At 43.1% G+C, this 19,776-nt stretch overlaps 1 protein-coding gene across 1 annotated transcript in view, besides 1 other annotated feature; it reads right to left on the bottom strand.

Annotated features, from left to right (window-relative positions):
• TEAD1 (TEA domain transcription factor 1) overlaps positions 1–19,776 on the bottom strand; it is a 270,317-nt gene that overhangs the window by 132,857 nt on the left and 117,684 nt on the right. The window lies entirely within an intron of this gene.
• Positions 2,235–2,906: an enhancer, noted in NCBI's record as "H3K27ac hESC enhancer chr11:12830522-12831193 (GRCh37/hg19 assembly coordinates)". NCBI's record gives its function as "activates a minimal SCP1, AML or CMV promoter by ChIP-STARR-seq in primed H9 embryonic stem cells {active_cell/tissue: H9 hESC(primed)}" and the evidence as "EXISTENCE:reporter gene assay evidence [ECO:0000049][PMID:30033119]".

Below are 19,776 nucleotides of genomic sequence, written 5' to 3'. Positions count from 1 at the left end.
GACACACCACCCTACCCCCACCCCCACCCCCACCCAGATACACATATACAGTCTATGATAACCGAAGGCCTGCACCCCCATCCCGGGATCCTCAGTGGATTCGGGGCCACTCCACTGTGGGCAAGACCACTCCCCTAAGACCTCTCACAGACCTATTCCAACCCACAGATCTACTCCAACCCACTGTTCCTCTCTGATTCCCTGGACTTCTGGGTCCCACCTCAAGCTGCCTTGCCCCAGAGACCACAGACGCCCCTCTCCAGCCCTGACTCCTGTTTTTGTTCTGCCTTAGCATGAGGATCCCTGGCTTCCCAGATGCTAATGCCGAACCCTCACACAGACCTTGGAGAAGACCTTGTAGGAAAAGTCCTCAACAAATTCACAAGAGGAAGGTCTGCATATCAGGTCACTATGTTCTAAGAAACAATGATCAAACTGGCTTTTAAGCAATGGAGGGGGCTTAGTGGCTTATTTAACTAAGAAGTCTTGTTCCAACAGCTTAGATGGCATCATTACCAATCTGCCTCCCAATAGGTTACTTAGTGGTTCCAACCAGTAACCAGTCCTGCACATGTGTGGGATTCTTATGAAAGAAAACTGCTCCCATATAGAACTCATGTCCTCACCCTACACCATCCACAGGATGTGTGATTCTCTTCTGAAAGCTTCAGCGAAAGAAAGCTTTACTTTCCCAGCAGCCCCAGAAAGATATCTCCTCTATCTCACTGGATGTGACTGGTCAGGCACCATCCCTCAATCAATCGCCGTGGACATAGCTGTTTTAGGCTTATATCAATCACGGTCTACTTCCAGAGTTGCAAGGGACGTCATCCCACCTGAATCATACAATGAGCCAGTGAGAGGGCTGGCCTCTATGCATTTGGTAAGAAAAACAGAATGGATGCTGAATGTCCTCTATAGCCGTGGAGCATTCAAGTAGCTTCTGGCCACCTCCATCCAAATGACTCCCAGCCTCACAGGCTGAGATGAAAGCAACCATCTCACCAGTCTAGGAAAAGGACTATTAACTAACAGCAGCCACTAAAGGAAGGAGAGTTAGCAGCCCAAAGGAATTTATTTCAGGGCCAGGGAGGAGGAGATATAGCGTTAAAGACCAAGACCTCTATGGCCACAGAAGGAACTCCCCCACAATGACATCAGCCACTGTGCTCGTCAGCATGAAAGACCTACTGCTGGGCAGCATCCCACTGCTGGGGACACTGCCAGACCCAGGGGTGCAGCACAGATCCCAATCATAGCAGAAAGACCAGAACCTTCAAGTCACTAGCAATCTCGAGTCTAAAACGACTCCGAAGACTAAGGTGGGAAGTTCAGAGGGAGGATGTGTCTCAGCAAGAGAGGGGAAGACAAAAGCTTCTCGGCTGTCCTGTGGGCAAGGAGCCCAGAGTTCTCCCAGCACACCCCTAGTTTAAGAAAATGGGAGAATGTCTCTGAGTAGAATCTGGCCATTTTCCCAGGCTTAGACCCTCATGGGGAAAATGCTCCAGCGTCCATACATCCGGACACTTCCCAACTTCGCAAGCTCCCTTACACCTCTAAACAGCTCAGACCTGTTACTAGGTACTTAAGAATGGGGAAAGAGGAAGGGCGCAGTGGCTCAAGCCTTTAATCCCAGCACTTTGGGAGGTTGAGGTGGGCGGATCACGAGGTCAAGAGTTCAAGACTAGCCTGACCAACATGGTGAAACCCTGTCTCTACTAAATATACAAAAATTAGCCAGGCGTGGTGGTGTGCGCCTATAGTCCCAACTACTCGGAAGGCTGAGTCAGGAGAACTGCTTGAACCCAGGAGGTGGAGCTTGCAGTGAGCTAAGATTGCACAACTGCACTACAGCCTGGACGACAGAGGGAGGCTCCATCTCAAAAAAAAAAAAAAAAAAAAAAAAGAATGGGGAAAGAGTTTTCTTTCTTTCCTCCTCCACACCTCCTCACCCACTCCCCATCGGCTGGTCCAGAAAGGCCTCCTTCATGCCTCAGGAACATTTCCATAACCATGTGGCAGACTTGCCAGGCACAGGGCTCGGAGCATACAAGGTAAAGCCTGGATCCTCTGGCCACAGCTAAAGCCAAGGGTTTTCATCAACCTCTCCTGCAAACAGAAGTCTCCACAGACCTTAACAGTGGCCCAGCCAGCCCCCAGTGGTGAAGCACAGGACGCTACGTTTTGCCCCCTCCTTTAGACTTGAGGGGCAGCACTGTCATTTTATGCCTATCTCTAAAAAGGGCACTACCAGGGAGGTAAAGAAAGGCTGGGCCCCACGTCCTGGCTGAGTCTCAAGGGTGGAGAGTTCCTATGGCTAGACCAAGAAGCATGGTCTTTGATCTGGGGGTGTGTACACAGAGACATCAATTCCATCAGTGACATTCTTCCAACTGCTACTTCTTGAATGCCTACAAGACACAAGTCCAGATTCAGAAATGGGGGCCCAGCAATGAGTGAAATGCAGCATCTTACCCTTAACATGCTCCCTGTCAATGGGGACAGCAATGGGTTTCAATCTTTCAAATGCAATATGCCTCCATGCAGAGTGGAAATAAAGGCTCTATCACTGTGTAAAGGTGATAGTCAGGAATTCACCAGGAACAAGAACCAGGAACCTACAGGATCTGGTGGGGTCAGAGCTAGACTGTGAGTGGCCCCGTCACTGAGTGTCCACTGCTCTCCCTTCAAAGCCTGCCGCTCTGGTGTCCTCAGGGTCTGCAGACATGTTCACACTTGCCATGCAGGGAAAGGCTTAACTCTAATAATGACCACACTCATTAGGAAAGAAAACCAGTGCTTGTGCCATATTCAGTAAGAACGTTTTTGGTTTCTACTTTGGGATGGGCCTCATTCCTTTCCTTAACACAAGCTCAGGATGAAAATTCCCAATTCCAAACCGGATTTCACAGCTCCCCTCCTCCCCTTCTAGGGACTCCAACAGCATTTTGCGAGAATTATGCAGCCTGTCACCTGTATTCTCACATTCTCACAGCCACCTTATGGAATGGGAGCTATTCTTCTCCCCATTTTACAGAAAAGGAAACTGAAACTCAAAGGTTAATTTTTTTCAACACCAAAAATGAGAAAGAAAACATAACTGACAACTTTAAAGTATGTTTATGGTGATGAGTAAAGGCAGAGAAATTGCAGCTGTGCCTATTCAGGAAATTCTGTGAATCACAGTGGTTGCTTTTTCCCTACTGTCTCAAAGAAGACAGGCTTTGTGACTAGCAAAATCATCCACCTCTCCACAAATAGAGGGCAGTGGGGAGGGGTGGCAGGTGGAGTGCTGGCACTGTCCAGGCAGTTGCTACGTGCCTCTGATTTCATTCTCAGAGACCCTCTGCAAATTGGACACTACTGTCTCAATTTTTGCAAGGGAAAAAAACAAAAACAAAAAAACTGAGGCTTAGCGAAGAGGAAGGCACAGAGAGGTGCCTTCACTCTGGGCTGCTAGAAACTAAGTAGTTGGTCAGACCCTTACATCATGGTGGTGCATTTGGGGCCCCACTAGAGAAGGCTCAAGGGTAGAGCTGAGAACACAGGAATGGCGCCTGGTGGAAAGTCTGCTGCCCTGTTCCACGTCCCATCCCAAGTTCATTCTAAGCGTTATTTTATGAGCCTACTATGACCTATAATTTCCCTGTCTATATTTGAAGCCAGTATTTGATTATTCCCAAGGAAGACTATTTAAGCATAAATCACTAAAAATAATGATAGCCACAAGTTACTTGGAAAATGAAATGAATAGTGCATTTAGAAATAAAAATAATTTTCCTTCTCATCTTTTCCCCATATTTTCTGAGGCTGTGTACTATATTCATTTAGAAACAAAACTTCTCATTTTTCCTTCATCCTCTTATGTTTCATACCCAAAGAAGAAAAACCATATCCTTCAAAACCACTTTGCGGATAAGCAACAAATTACATCTAGGACTCGGGCTACTTAGGACTCTTCAGAGATGAGTAAGGACTACCATCTGCTACCTAGGATGGAAGGCGGGGACACAGCAACCACAGCACCCAGTGCAACTCTCAGTACCTGTCCAGGTCTGGCCACTGCCAAGCACTTCAAAGCACGACCTACTTCACCTTAACAGGTAAACTCCGGGAGAAGGCCCATCATCCACAGTGGAATTTTCCGTGCAGCCCTCTGGAGTTTACAGAGGTTCCCCTGGAGAGGTTCTCTTACCACAAAATGTTACCTTTCTATAAACCCATAGGCCTTCCTTACACAAGTGAGCTAATAGTGATTAATAGTTTGCATTTATTGAATGTTAACTATGTGCTAACCCCTTTACCTATACTTTTCAATCCTCATACCTACCTTTTAACAAAGGCACTATTATTCAACCCACTTTACTGATGAGAAAACTGAAACTTAGAGAAGGTTAAGTAACTTGCTCAAGGTTACACAAGTAACTAGAAGTGGCAGAGCCAGGAGCAAAAAGCAGGACTGTGATTTCAGGACCCACGTATCCACACTAACCTATTAAACATACTGCCCCCTACCCTGTGTTACAACACAAAGACATTTTAAGGTATCCTACAGAGAATTCGTTTCCTGAAAGACTGTATTTGAGCGGACAGAAACAGAACTATACCCTGTGGCAAAGAAAACACTAAAGGTTGACCAGCTGCACTTTCCTTGAAAACCTCATGGGATAAAAAATCAGTATACTCTGATAAACTCAACTATGCACACAAACATTATTGCTTCCAAAGTGCCTTTGCAAAAAGGGAGAGCTTTCACATTTGGGGATTTTATTGTGAAAACTGGTGTAAGATATTTGTCTGTGCTGTGATGCTCTGTATTTTCACATCATTTTTTAAAATAAAACAAAGTGCAATGCAATTTGCTTCCCCAGAAAATTGGATCACATTTGATTCTTATTGCATCCCACTTATTACTAGTTATATTTTGTAATTTTTTTTGCCCCAAACAGCCTCAAGATTTTGCCTATGGGAGCCAACCTACCAATTCGTTTGATTGTTTAGCACAACCTGCAATTCCTACAGGCAATTTCACAGTTGCAGGGATTTCAAGTATGAGAGAATTCAAACCTGACCTGACAATGAACAACTACTTCACTTATTTTTTATTCAACTCTCAGACTATGTTGATGTTTAGATCATTTACGAGGTTAAATGGCAAAGCTACTTAGGCCAACCCAACTACTTGGTTGAAACTACTCGGTTTCAAGCTCTGAAGTATGAAAGGCAGTTGGAAGTTAGTCATGCTTTTATCCATATTCTGTACAGTCCTTAGACCTCGGCCAGAGGGCCCAACTTGGGCCCTAGACTTTAGAGGGTCTTGCTCTGGTCTTCTTCTGGCCATCTTCCTCCTCCTCCCAGGGTGAGGAGCCTTTGAGGATCAAGAGGACACTTCACCTAACACCCTCACCTTTTAGACCATCGACCAAGGACCCAAGACTTTGGAACTCTCAAGCCAATAACCCTTTTCCACTTCCAAGGTCTGTGTAGGCCACTTCCCTGAATCTGTTCTCAAAAGGGCAGATTGTGTCACAGGTGTGAGTATGCTTCACTGCAAGGAGTGGCCTGGGAACAGCTGTTAGCAGGAGGAAGGAGAAGAAGGTTTGCTTGTGCAATCTGCAGCATCCATATGAACATGTTACAACATACAGCTGGAGTGGGAAGAGAAGGGGGCAGGCCTCTAAATTTGAACCTGGGTTCCAAGTTATTATTAAAGTAAATTTGTCAAAGTAGGAGGTGAGAAAATGTTATTTAACAGTGTATTAACTCGAATTTTCCTTTAAATATTTCAACATAGAGTACATGAGCTTCCACTGACACTCTTTGCCTCAGGCTCCATAAATATTAGGGACAGGTTTGTCTACATTTAAACATGAAAGTGCTGCCATTGTAAATGGACTAATGAGAAGCTCACACAGACCCCCAACACCGATAAACCAGTCTGTCAATTCAGGTATTAAAAATACTCAGCAAAATTCCTAGTGAAAAAAATAAAAGAAACATCATAAAACCACCTAATCAATCTAGAGAAGCAACAAACGGAGCTGTAAAACTAACTTGATTTAAACAGATCAATTCTTTGGAAGGTACAAGGTGTATCAATCAATGCTTCAGCTAGTTTCTGTACCTACTAATCTTTATCTAATCACACACATGATTCTGTAGACACAGACACAATTTCTAAAACTCCATGGGCTGTCTTAAAACTATGATACCTAACTATCAAAAGCAGAAAGATCACTATTATGTCTATCTCTCATAGCAATCTGGGATCAAGCATTTTGCAAATAAAAAGGGCAAACTCAATATGGGTAGACCTAAGGCCCTAATTCTAGTGGTTCTACATCAGAGATCATTTTTATAATAATATTGCTTTAATATTGGCTAGGATATGTTACATGATCTTTACTTCTAGGTTTGAAAAGGAATTAGACATCCACAATATATAATTATGACATAACAACCACAGTGAATTGAACCTGTGCTGTGATTCTGAAGACTTCCTGCAGTTAAAATTGCCCATCTCACAAACTATAGTTACAAATGTTCTAACATCTCTAAATTGATCATATTCAGCTGCCCCCAAAGAAATAAATAAACAATATAAAGCAGGCATGTTCATTGTGATATACATCTTCCTTCATTACTAGCATGTGTCTTGCAGGCAGATGACATGCCTGCTCACTTATACAATTTTCATGACTGGAAATTTTAAAGGAGATTCATTATATTGTTGACCTTCACAGTAAGCCACCAAATGGTCTTTTGATCCCTGCTTCAATACTTCTCGCTATATCCTAAAGCAGAAGCCCAGTCCACCTTTGCAGGACTGTGAAGAATATCTTTTTTATAATTGAGCCAAAATGTGACTGCCTTTTAAGATTATAACTAGAGTCTACTGGACAAATGTGCTGCTTCTTCACCCATGTCTCTGCAGAGTCTTTTCTAAGTCAGGGCAAATACTACCACTCCCACATCCACCCCATCCTTTGAATGATTTTGTGTGACATGTGGTTTCTTCTCTTTATCATCTGGGGTGCTGCCCTCTGAAGAAACCCTAGTTTTTACGTTCTCTCTAAAGGGGCTTTCTTTTGTCCACCTTTGCATCCCAACACATAGAAAGGTACCTGGCATACAGTATAGTGGAGAGAGGCAGGGAGCGAAGGAAGGAAAACAGAACCCCTGGCTCCAAGTGTGTTCTAACATGGTATGCATCCTCCTCTATCTGCACACTCCGAGGTAACACTCGCTTCTGCAGAAGCCACATCACAAACTTACTGTGATCGCACAGTCAACAAAAATCACATAGTACTGATCTCCCATTACAACACATGTTTGTCACTCTTAGGTATTAACTAAGGGGCAGTTCAGACCATAGTTCTTGCATTCAGCTCAGACTATGTCTCTGTTTTCAACACAGTAGATAAAATTAAAAAGCAGATCAAAGGTCTCATTTATGCATTGTATAAACTATAGTTTTCTGCTTAATAAGGTTTTCAGAGAAAGAAGCGAAGCTAGCCTGGGGTGGCTCGTTCTTGGTGAACCCATGCTAGGTCCCAGGGACCACCGCTAGGGAAAAGCCATACTTCTCTGCCCATATTAAGGGGAGTTCAATGCTCAAGAATGGTCTGCTGAATGCATTCAAAGCCGTATTTTGCAAGCTGGGAAAGCACTTGCTCCCATAAAGTTTCCTTAAAAAGGTCTGAAGAATGGAAATATCACAAAGCACAGTCTTTCCAAGTTAATACTTCAAAGAGAATTACATTTGTTTGGGTAAATAAGCTCTGGCACACGTGCCTCAAAATTAAATTCTACTATTTTATCACTGGACCTAAGCTTCATGATTTCCTGAGACATACTTAGGCATCTAATTACACATGTACACCACCAAATTCTAACTAACCTCCTTAGCAAAAGTCTCCCAGAGCCCTGCAATCTGTGATACGTACCGCCTAACTCCACCACCAAATCCACAACGCTGCTTCAGGACAAGTGTTGGCGTCCTATAAACCAACAGGTCTAGATTAGAATTCCACAACCTTGGGCAGGCAACGACTCCTTGGAACCCCAGTTTCCCATCTTTAAAATACTTAATAGGGCCTCGTTAGCAGGTTTGCTGTGAAGGATACAGGAGACCTCATTTTGTGAAAGTCTGGCTCAGCAACTGAAATGTGGTAGGCATTCAGGAAATGCAGTCTTCTTTCCCATCTGCCTCCTGTCTTCCCATTGCAGATGTGAGATAAAAAGCTCCTAAGCGTCCCAGCACGGAGAGCCACACAGCTGGCGCCATGAGCCACACAGCAGGCACAGAGGGCCACACAGCTGGCATGGAGGGCCACACAGACTGCACTCAGTCCATGAAAGCTATGAAAATTATCTTCATTGCATGGCTTATAAAAAAGCTACAGTTTCCTTTCCTATTTTACCAACAAGCCACCTGAAGTTGCCTTCTTCCCACAAACAATGAACTTAAACCAAGAAAGAGAAGCCTTTCCTCATTATGCCTAAAAACAAAGCTGCTCTGACTAATTCACATTCAGACTCATAATCCTTCATCCAAGGGCCTTTGCAAATGCCAAGACCCTCAGGGAAGCAAAATTTCCTCGAATGTACAGGGGCTGAGAACACTCGGGGTTTCAAGATGACTAATCATGGAAATGTACTATAAACAGGGAATATTAAAGAGCTTAGAAAGCCTCTCGGGGAAAGGGGGGAAAAATCCTCACAATTCAGGGCTTGGTGGAGAGAACAGCAGTTTTATGGCAAAACAAAAAAAAAAAATACAGGTGAAAATGTTAGGCAGGCGCAACTTCTGTTTTCCCAGAATCCAGGGCCCGGGTTGGGCTGGGTAGAGAGAAGTCTCCTCGGCTTCTTGCTACCATGGTGTTTTTTTCTATCTTGACAATTCACTTCCCCAACAGGCATGCCGCCAACTCAAATGAGACTCAGAGCAGTGAAAAGCCCTTCAGGTAAACAGTGTGATAAGCTAAACTGAAAAACTAGACAATGTTTTTGGACTATGAGGGTGTTGCTATGGAGACAGTTGCTAATTAACTGCTTTCAACCAGGAGAACAAAGGGCTCGGGGCAAGCAGGCCTCGGTATCTCCGAGTGAGCAATGCTTCCAGCCTTGCGCAATCGGCACATCGCTCATATCTGGAATACCTGAGACCCGGTCGGGTCGGCCACATGCCTGAAGAAATGACAAAAGTGTGTTTTCTTCATCTTGACCTGGATTCATAACACCTGGCCACCAGAACCTCTCAGGGAAGGAAGCAAGTGGCACAGGGAATGCAGATTCACAGGAAGCAAGGCCCCTCCACCACCAGTCAGGCACTTTCCTAAATAGTGTTTTGTCAAACACTATCTGTGAAGGGTCGGGCGGCGGTGAGATGGGGGGAACATGTAATTGTTTTAAACTATATATTTTACTTTATGGGCTTTAAGTTCAAAGGGCAGAGATAAATCTCCCCTTCTTCAGGATTCAACTTCCTCGGGTTAAAAAAAAAGTGACTGGATTTTTCTCAAAAAGAAATAATAAAACCCATCATTATTCCATATTTCGAAGTCCCACACACATTGTGGTCACTCAAAAAGTAATAACAAAAAAGTTAATTGTAATCTGACTTATCACATGAATTTTTCTCCTCCAACCTCATCCCAGGCTGACTTGGCTGGTTCAGATGTGGTCTCATCTTAGAGGCTAAGTAGGTGCCCTGAGGCTGAAATGCTCTGTTCTGAATGGGTAACCTTTGAGCTATATCTAGTTCAAACCAAAGATCTATATTCCCTTCACAAATACTTAAACTCAAGTGTGAAATGTGAACAGGGCTTGGCATAACCACCTCAAGTGACTCAAAAATCTAGTGAGGGCTCTGTCTCATTCCACAGTGACCTGAAGGTGCCCATTTCAGCCCTCAGTCTAATTATATTAAACATATCTACATTAAGCCAAACTCAACCAAGCTATTGTGTGATACATTCTGCCTCCCCACAACAAAATCAAGTGATTTCCTTTTTTTACACTCTTAAGAATCACCAATCAATACAGCCTGTGGGCAACCCACCTTCATCATCTGAGGCATCATCTGGATTAAGCATGTTATGATTCTGAATGAAATACAACCATACAATTCTTGGTTTGACTCTGTGGCGACAATGCACATAAACATCTTCAGGAAAGTCCAACCATCTTCTGGCATCACTGAAAATCCACCTAAGAGCATGGGCTTTGGAAGCAGACACGCTCAGGTTCAAACCAAGGCTCCAACTTAGTATTGCACTATCTGTGAAAACCCCTTTGAGCTTCAGTTTGTGCATCTGCAAAATAGGTCACTAATATCTATTTCACAGAGTTACTGACATTATTCAGTGAATTAAAGTGTTCCCTACAGCCCTTAGCCTATAGTAAGTACTCAACAGACCACAGCAATTAATTAAAGCCTCCATTAATTTACTACTTTTCTTTAAGATGAGGTAAAACTGCTGTTAGCTCTAGTTTCTACATCTGCAGCCAAGCTCATGAAGAGAGAAAAGGGGATTTTTAGTCTGAGCTGTGGCCCCGTCCACCCCAACCTAGCACCCTCCTCTGTCCACAATAGCCCATCAAGACCAATCACCATGTATAACTGGAGAAGCTTTTATTGCGGTGAAAATTGCAGAATTGGGGCTAATTTTCAAATCCAGCCCCAATTTCTAGGCTACACTTACTCTTTTCTTGTGAAACCAAGGAGTTAAATTCTTGCTTTGCAGATGGCAGCTTTTTAATAAGGCTTTCAGCCCAAGCCCCTCCCTGCCTGGGTTAAATTTCATCAGCCATTGCCCAGGGACATCTCACTCTTCTCGTTTCAATCTCTCCTTCCTCTGCTCCTTCCAGGCTGTGCTTCCAGCAATCCCCATCCATCCATGCATTCAACAGAATTTTTAAACCACCAATTCTGTGCCAGGCATGGTGCTGACACTGAGAACACAAAGATGCAACCAACCCCATTCACAAGGGGTACTTAGGCTAGTGCCTAAGATAAAGACAGCTATATAGGACTCTTAGAAATCTATGAGACTAGCCTTGTGCTAGGAAAAAGACATGGTGCTTGGGGGCAGAGAAGGGAGGAAAGGAAGATGAGAGGCCCCACCACAGTATTCCCAGATTGAAGAAAATTCCCACCCCAGAGGAGAAAACCATGGCTCCTGCCTTGAGGCTCTTTTTCATTTTTTTGTCACCATTCACTTTCATTGCATTCCCTACAGTCCCCTCTACGTGCTGTGCTAAGTACAGCGGTCAGGAGGAGGGAAGCTGACCTTGAATCAGCACCTTAGTAGAATTCCCTGATTGATATGCTTTGCGTCCCCCTCCCTTATCAGCCCTCTGAACGTATCTCTAACACAGCAGGAACCATCGCTGTGTTTCCTGTCAGTCTCCCCAGCTGGTATGAGAACTATCCAAGAGCAGAAGCCTTATCTAATTTGTATTTCTCTCCAGAGCACCTACCACAGTACCTGGCACATAGCTGTTTGATCAAAGCTTGCTACACTGAACTAAACTGCAGTCCAGATCCTTTGGATAATTTATGCAAGATCACAAAGCTAAGAGGTAAAACCGGCTCAGGACCCAGAGCTCTGACTCATTCATTCTCCTGCACTGGTGACTGTTGATTTTTCCTAGAGGAGACTAGCTCTGGAGGTGCAAGCAGTCATCATCCACGGACATTTTTGTATACTGGCACGACAGATGGGCTCTCCAACTTCTAATCTCTCCTCAAAGCCTTCTCTCACCCAACTTTCTAAGCCTGTGCAGCTAAACCTGAGAAAACTCCCTTACTGGAAACTGTATTTAATTATTACCATTATGCACTTATTCCCCTGGACTCCAAAAATATCAAGAAAAGCCTTGCAAAATTTTTACTCTTTTGCTATCAAAGAAAAACAGAAAAAAGTATTTCTTGTGGCATCTGATAAACTCCTCTCTTTCAAAAAAACTGCATTCTCAACCCCCCTACTTTCACATCTTCTACCATACAGGCTTGGGATATAAGTTTAAAAAAAAGCAAAACACTACATTATTTTGACGGAGGTTAGAAAAACAAAGAACTTCAAGAAAAACAGACTATAGGGTTTCCCAATTTACAAGCAGCGTAACAGCTTGGAAGAGCAAAGGATTAAGAGGACTTGGGTTCAAATTCCAAGGTACTAATCACATTAAGGATATGTTCAGTCTCTTAACCTCTCTAAGCCACTTACTTCATTTGTTAAATGGAAATAAATAATAACTCTTCTTACCAGCATTGCTGGACTAAGGAAGATAATATCTGAAAAAGCAATTATAAACTGTAAAGCACTGTAGGAGATTTATTTTTAGTGGGTGTTAAAAACGCTGACACACACACACTCATCTTCTGCCAATTTCAGAGGGAAACACAAGTACAGCCATGACCATAAAAAGAAACCAGAATGATTTATAGAAATAAAAGCCATAGAACTCGACACCTAATTGGGAATCACAGGCATTTAGTTACCTGAAAAATTACTGGAAGCCAAGAAATAGGAAAAAGATTGCATGTGACTATTAACAAGCGCCTTCAGTGCTCTGTGCCCAGATTCCTTATCTGTGAAGTGGGATAATGAAAACATACCACTCAATTCTCAGGGTGGTTATGAAATTTAAATTAAACAAGTTAATATTTGTAAAACACTGAGATAAACGCCTGGAACTTTTCTAATTTGGTAGACAGGTAGGTAAATAAACAAACAAATGATGATAAACATGTATTTCTCATGTTTCCACAACACCTCTTCAATGAGATTTTCATGGGTCTACAGATAGAAAAGCCCAGTAGGACATCTCAAACTTCACCTGAGTGAGTGAACAGATACCAAGTGTTCTAATCTTTTTATTCTAACAGGGTGCCAGCAGGCAGAATGCCTGGGGGGGGTTTTGTTGTTGCTTTTGTTTTGTTTTCCAGGTGGCAGAGTTGGGAAAGGAGAAAAGGCAAACCAATTCGTGGACTGAGCCTAGAACAGCACTGCTTCCCTCATGAGTAGGATGGCACCGCCTAAAGGCATCCAACATCAATCACCACCTCCACAGAAATGCATGCTCCTTTTATGGAAACGCAGCATTCAGAGTTTTACAACATTTGTACCATGGAAGGAAAGACCAGTGCTGATTTGGTGCCAAACTCAACCGTAAATACAAGGTGTTTTCTTCATTGGTAATTACAGATGAGAACTTCACTTCTGGCATACACACCATAAGGCATTCTTGGTTTACACATTTAAATAAACATACCCACCACGGGTTCCAACTTCCTTCATGCATTTACTTGACCACAGGCACTGAATTCCGACTGGGTGCAGAGGAGTGCCTTGTTGTGGAGGTAAAAAAAGAGAAATCAAGTCCCAGACCTTGAAGATGGCAGTTTAACACCAATGGAGCCCTGTCTTTAGGGGCCTTCTGATCTAACTGAGGAAATAGAACACCAGCACATTATACGTTAAAAATCAATATAAGTGAAATCAAAACAGTTTATGAAAAGATGTTAGAAAAGATGAGTACTCTTCCAGTCAAAAGGAAAGAGAGAGAAATAAGGCAAGATGGAGTGGTCAGAAAAAAACTGATGGGGGTGGAACTGGAAGCTCCAAAGACAGGAAAAGCACAGACTGTCTAGAGGATGGGTACACGTCATCTCCAATCAGCAGTCAGCAACGGGGGCCAACCACAGAGCATGTGTGCAGGAGGCAACTATGGGAAAGGTAAAAACAATAGTGTAGCTGGAGCTGAGGCCACCAGGGCAGTACTGCAACATAAAAGTGGAAATACAGGTAGAGTTGATATGTTACACAAACGGCTTTAATAAAAAGTTTAATTTCCATTGCAGGGATGGAAAGCATAGCTAGAGACTCATCCAGGTATCAGGCAATTAAGAGTTTGGATAATGAGAATTATCCAAAGGAAAAATGAACATACAAAAGATGTCCCAAAGGAGAATGGAAGAGTAAGGGACTGATCAGTCCCTACAGGGTAAATCAAATAGGAGGTTTCAAAGACAAGGGGCTTTGAAAAATAGTAGATAGGATACACTGACATAAAAAAGCAAGCCAGAAAACAAGAGAAGTTGGAGAATTCCATTTTCAATGTATGGGATGTTTTGGTGATGAAGGGACAACCATTTGGAAGAGAAATGGTGATCCTCTGCACAGATAGGACAGTAAAATTGGCAGAGTGGAGGAAACCCCTACAAAAAAGAGGGGATAAATAAAACCTTAAAGATAACCACTACTTAGTGGAGTCAGGAAGAGGAAGAAAGGTTAGTTTAAAAAAAAAAAAAGAGAGGGACAGCATGCACATCCAAGACTTAAGGGCTGTACCAAGGATTTTCAGATGGGATGGGGTGGGTGGCACACCAGGGGGTACAAAAGCACAAACGTCAAGAAGTCCAGGAATGAGAAAAGGACACTAGAATTGTCATTGGATAGGGTGCCAACCGTCTGTGAAAGCCCTAGTCTGAGGACCAAATGCATGCTACATCAAGACCCCAGACTGAAATGAGCCCCTTCCCCACATTCTGTGATTGTCCAAAAGATCAGCTAAGAGGAGAAGGACTGATGGGACAGAGTTTGAGGGAACAGTAGGGCAAGATGGTCTGAACACAATCACCATCCTTCTTCAAGTCTATGTTGAAGAATTAAAAGTTAAGAGGTCACCATCTGGGATACTAGTGCTTCCCCTCACCACAAAACCTACAACGGAAAATACATCTGTAGGTTTTTTGTGTTTTGAGATGGAGTCTTGCTGTTTCCCAGGCTGGAGAGCAGTGGCGCAATCTTGGCTCACTGCAAGCTCCGCCTCCCGGGTTCACGCCATTCTCCTGCCTCAGCCTCCTCAGTAGCTGGGATTACAGGTGCCCGCCACCACACCCAGCTAATTTTTTTGTATTTTTTAGTAGAGATGGGGTTTCACCGTGTTAGCCAGGATGTTCTCGATCTCCTGACCTCGTGATCCGCCCACCTCGGCCTCCCAAAGTGCTGGGATTACAAGCATGAGCTACCGCACCCGGCCACATCTGTAGATATTAAGGGGTGCTCCCACTTTATTCTCAAAACTTCCAATAACTCTTCCATGTTTATTGATATAACAAGAATTGCTAAATTTTTTTTTTTTTTGAGTCAGGATCTAGCTCTGTTGCCCAGGCTGCAGTGCAGTGGTGCGATCATGGCTCACTGAAGCCTCAACCTCCTTGGGCTCAGGTGATCCTCCCATCTCAGCCTCCCAAGTAGCTGAGACTACAGGTGTGTGACATCACACCCAGCTAATTTTTGTATTTTTTGTGGAGACTGGTTTCACCACATTGCCCAGGCTGGTCTCAAACTCCTAAACTCAAGTGATCCGCCCGCCTCAGCCTCCCAAAGTGCTGGGATTACAAGCATAAGCCATCCCACGTAGCCTAAGAATTGCTAAACATCGTAAGCATCTGTGCAGTCTTCTGCAACTCTTCCTTGTACCCCAAAAGTAACACAATAGCATCTCTATAAATGATATGTTTCAGTGAGACCAACAACGCTGATTTCCTATGGTTTTTGTTATTCAATTTAATTCAACAAGCACTGACTGCCCACTATATGCTATCTCCACACCACCTTTCATGTTCTCCCAAGCTCCTGGGGTGGACAAATAGGTTGCTACCCAACACTTAGTATCTGTAAGAGGTAAAGTCAGAAAAAAAATGCACTGTGGTCTCCTTTGCTATATAATATTCTGCCTTCTCTGAAATAAATTCCGTACACTAGCCCCCCTCCTGGCCCAGTTTCTGCACTACTGTGGAAATAAAAAGAAGAACCTGTGCAAAAAGAATTCTCAACCTCAATATTGAAGTCTGGATATTCCAGAAATGAGGACCTCCAGCCCCACAGTGGTCCTCAACTTATACTGTGAATCAGAATAATCTGGGCAGCTTTTAAAAAATATAAACGTCAGTGCCTCATCAGAGATCTGATTCAATGGCGTGGGGTAAGGCTGCCATCACTGTTATTTGTGTTTTGTCTTTTACTGTTCTCAAGCAATCTAATATGCAATCAGGACTGAGAAGCAGCGTATACCCGATTCAGGTGCTTCATCAAACTGACTGCACACCCAAATCACCTGGGGATCTTGTTAAAAATATGTATGTGGTGGGACCTGAGACTCTGCATTTCCAAAAAAAGCTCTCAGGTGATGCTGATGTTGCCAGTTGGTCCATGGACCACAGGTGGAGGAGCAAGGGTATAAAGCCTGGGCCCCAGTCTTTCTTATCAGCCCTCCAAGTGATTCTGACACACCAAAGTTTAGTAGAAAGAGAAGTGGCTTTGGACAGGCTGGCCTGAGTTCCAATCCTGGTCCCAACACTGCCTAATTGTGACCATACCCAAATTACTGATCCTCTTTAAACCTGCACCCATGTATGCAACATGAGAGTTATGGGTTGAATTGCATGCCCCAAAAAGATTTGTTGAAGTGTTAACCCTCAGTACACCTCAAATTTGACCTTATTCAGAGATGGTGTCATTGAAGATATGATCAGTCAAGGTCATACTGGAGTAGGGCGATCCCTTAGTTCAATATGACAATTGTCCTTACAAGAAGATAATGCAACGACAACCCTAGGAGAGAATACCATGAGACAACAAAGTTAGAGACTGAAATTAACAGCTGTGAGATAAGGAAAGCCAAGCATTGATGGCAACACAGTAGCCTTTAAGAGAAAGGCACAGAACACATCCTCCCCTAAAGACTTGAGAAAACATGGCCCTGCCAACCCCTCAACCTCCAGCTTCTCACCTCCAGAACTGTGAGAAAATAAATGCCTGTTGTTTTAGGTCACCTAGTTTACACTATTGTGTTATGGCAGCCCTAGGAAACTAAGACAATTAGATACTAGCATCTCCCTTGCTGAGATGCATGAGACTGAATCAGGTGAAGGTGCTCACCCTGCTGTTCAGGGCAGGATGGATTTCCTTTCCTTGTCAGAGGTACTAGGGATAAGCGCCAGGGAGTTATCATCCCCCTTAAAGGAAAAGTAGCTGCTGAGAGATGTGTCCAGGCATCTGGCCTCTTGGAAGGCATTCACAGGCTGCAGCCACAGCAGCTGGGCCCATTATGTGCATGCACACCCACTCGGGTGCTCCTGCCGGGTTGCAGGAGCAGCTCTGCTCATTATGAGTGGGAACAGTTACAGGCCCGGCTCGCCACAGAGGCCCATTCTGGCCCAGGAGGCTCTGACAGGAAGGCCTCCGGCAGAACTGCGTTAGGAGATGATGTCAAAGTTCAGGGGCCCTCCTGGAGAGGAACAATCAGAACCATCATTGTGACCCTGGCCCTCACCTAGACAGGCTGTCACATGTCGAAAAGAGAGGGATATTCCAAATCTCCCTTGATTACCCAAAATCCATCAACACCATGAGGGCTGTTTTTTTCTTTTTTCTTAAACAGTAAATAATACACAGACAAAGTTTATTCTCACTCTTCAGAATGTACCTGCTCTTAAGCTGTTACACTCCAGCCCCATTAATTTGGTCATCAAATAATCTCAAAGAGACTATCACGCTAATGAGGATAGAGATGAACATGACATAGACCAGACCTGGTGAGAAGAGAAAAAATAATTAATGAACATGTACTGGGTGCTTAGGACATGCCAAATGGACCGCATAAAATCTAGAAAACGGAGATAAGTAACCTGTGCAGGGTTACACAGCTCATACCTAGAAGTGGTAGTAGGGTTTGAATTATGGGCTCTAAGCCCCATTCCCTTCCTACTCTCCCATAGCTATTTCCTATCAGAGTTAGCCAAAGCAAGCGAAATTTAAGACAGTTTTGGGGTAGACCAAAGATCATCGCCATTTTACTCCAGAGCTGTAAGAATGAAATAGCTGCTTCCATTATCCACTTTAGTGTTCCAAAACCAATTCTTCAAAGTAATGCATTTCACATATACTCTCAAGGGATATCCCATGCTCTGACTTCTCCCAGTAAGGAACGGCTTTTGAACAACTGGAGTCAGATCACAATGAGAAAGTGAGTTCTGGACAGTCAGCACTCAGTGAGATCCCCACCAATCCCACTCCCTCAGACAATCACTGGGCTTAACAACAAAGAGATCATCCAGGATAGTTCTCTTTTGATTCATGTTCCACATCCTACATGCCTTTTTCCTAACAATGTCCTTACTTCACCATGTCAGTGGGTTATCTAAAAACGGTGGGTTTTTTGAATGAATGGAATGCCAAACTTGAGGTATCTGCAACAAAAGTGAAAACAGTCAATGTCCTACAAACTAATAAGACAGACAATACTCTAAAGGAAAAACTGAACAAAATTAAACAATATTGTATGAAAGAAACACAGTACATAATAAAATATACCATTATTTAAGCTCAGCTGTTACCAGAAATAAAAATCAAAAAAACTATAAGATATTTTCTACCTCTAAAATAGCAAAGATATTTAAAAACCTAAATATCCAGCACTGATCACAGACTGAGGAAATGACCATTCTCACTACTTTTTTAGTAGAGCAGACATTGGTATTTGGAAATATTATCATAGTTCTTAAAAAAAATATCTATCCTTTAACTGTGCCATTCCACTTCTTGGAATTGGTCCTAAAGAAATAATTATGTATCTCACTCAAGGACATTCACTGTAGTTACTTGTAGTAGGGAAAACCCACTTTAATTGCTCAAAAATAGGCAACCGGTTGAATAACGTATATTTATAAATTAAAAAAAAAAAACCACTTCATAGATTTTCAATGATATGCAAAAATCTTTTTTGTTTTGTTTTGTTTTTTTAAAGAGACAAGGTCTCGCTAACAGCCCAAGCTGGAATGAGGTGGCTATACAGGTGTGAGCATGGCATACTACAGCCCCAAACTCCTGGCTCAAGCAATCCTCCTGCCTCAGCCTCTGAGTAGCTGACTACAGTCATGAGCCATCATTCCCGGCTAATTTTTTAATTTTTTGTAGAGATGGGGTCTTGCTATGTTGCCCAGGCTGGTCTCAAACTCTTGGCATCAAACAATCCTCTTGTCTCAGCTGCCCAAACCACTGGGATTACAGGTATGAGTCACCATGCCCAGCTCATTTTGTAACATTTTGGGACCTGGCCCATAACCAATGTTTTTTGGCTAGCTTTACTATATATCTCATGTAATCCTCATAGCACCCATACAGGCGTTCAGTATAACTGCCCTTATTTTGAAGTTGAACAGAGGTTGGGGAACTTGCACAGAGTTGCTCATCCAAAAGCTAGGCTGTACATATCCAGACCTTATGTTCTAAAACCAGGACTTCTACTAGTAGGACAATGCAGCAGAGTCCTGAGAACAATTTCACATTTAAGTGTCAGCGGTTAGCATACAGACATGAATAAACAGACTTATATCAACGAAGGCAAACTAAAGAGAAAAGCAACAAGATTTCAGACTTGCCTATATTTTTATATCTAGGTCAAAACTTTCTTCATAGGACTATATAGGACTTTTTTTTTTTTTTTTTTTACTATTTTCCCTTTACTTTCCTTTTCTTGATATTTTTATATTATCTTTACCCTTCTCACCCCCAAGCATTTGAGAGGTCAATGACAGTGGCCTAGAGAGAAAATATCCCAGAACAGAGAGTTATTAGTTATCTACCAAACACAGCTTGAGGGAAATCTCCCTTAAAAACACTTACTCATTTTTGTCTTATTTTGGTACTCACCAAACAACTTTCTGATCAGAGAGGTGATCTCAAATAGTCTCCATGTGCC

The sequence above is a fragment of the Homo sapiens genome, chromosome 11, assembly GCF_000001405.40.
Source record: "Homo sapiens chromosome 11, GRCh38.p14 Primary Assembly".
NCBI classification, from domain to species: Eukaryota; Metazoa; Chordata; class Mammalia; order Primates; family Hominidae; genus Homo; species Homo sapiens.
The sequence above is the reverse complement of the archived record's forward strand: the minus strand, read 5'-3'. Positions and strand labels throughout refer to the sequence as shown.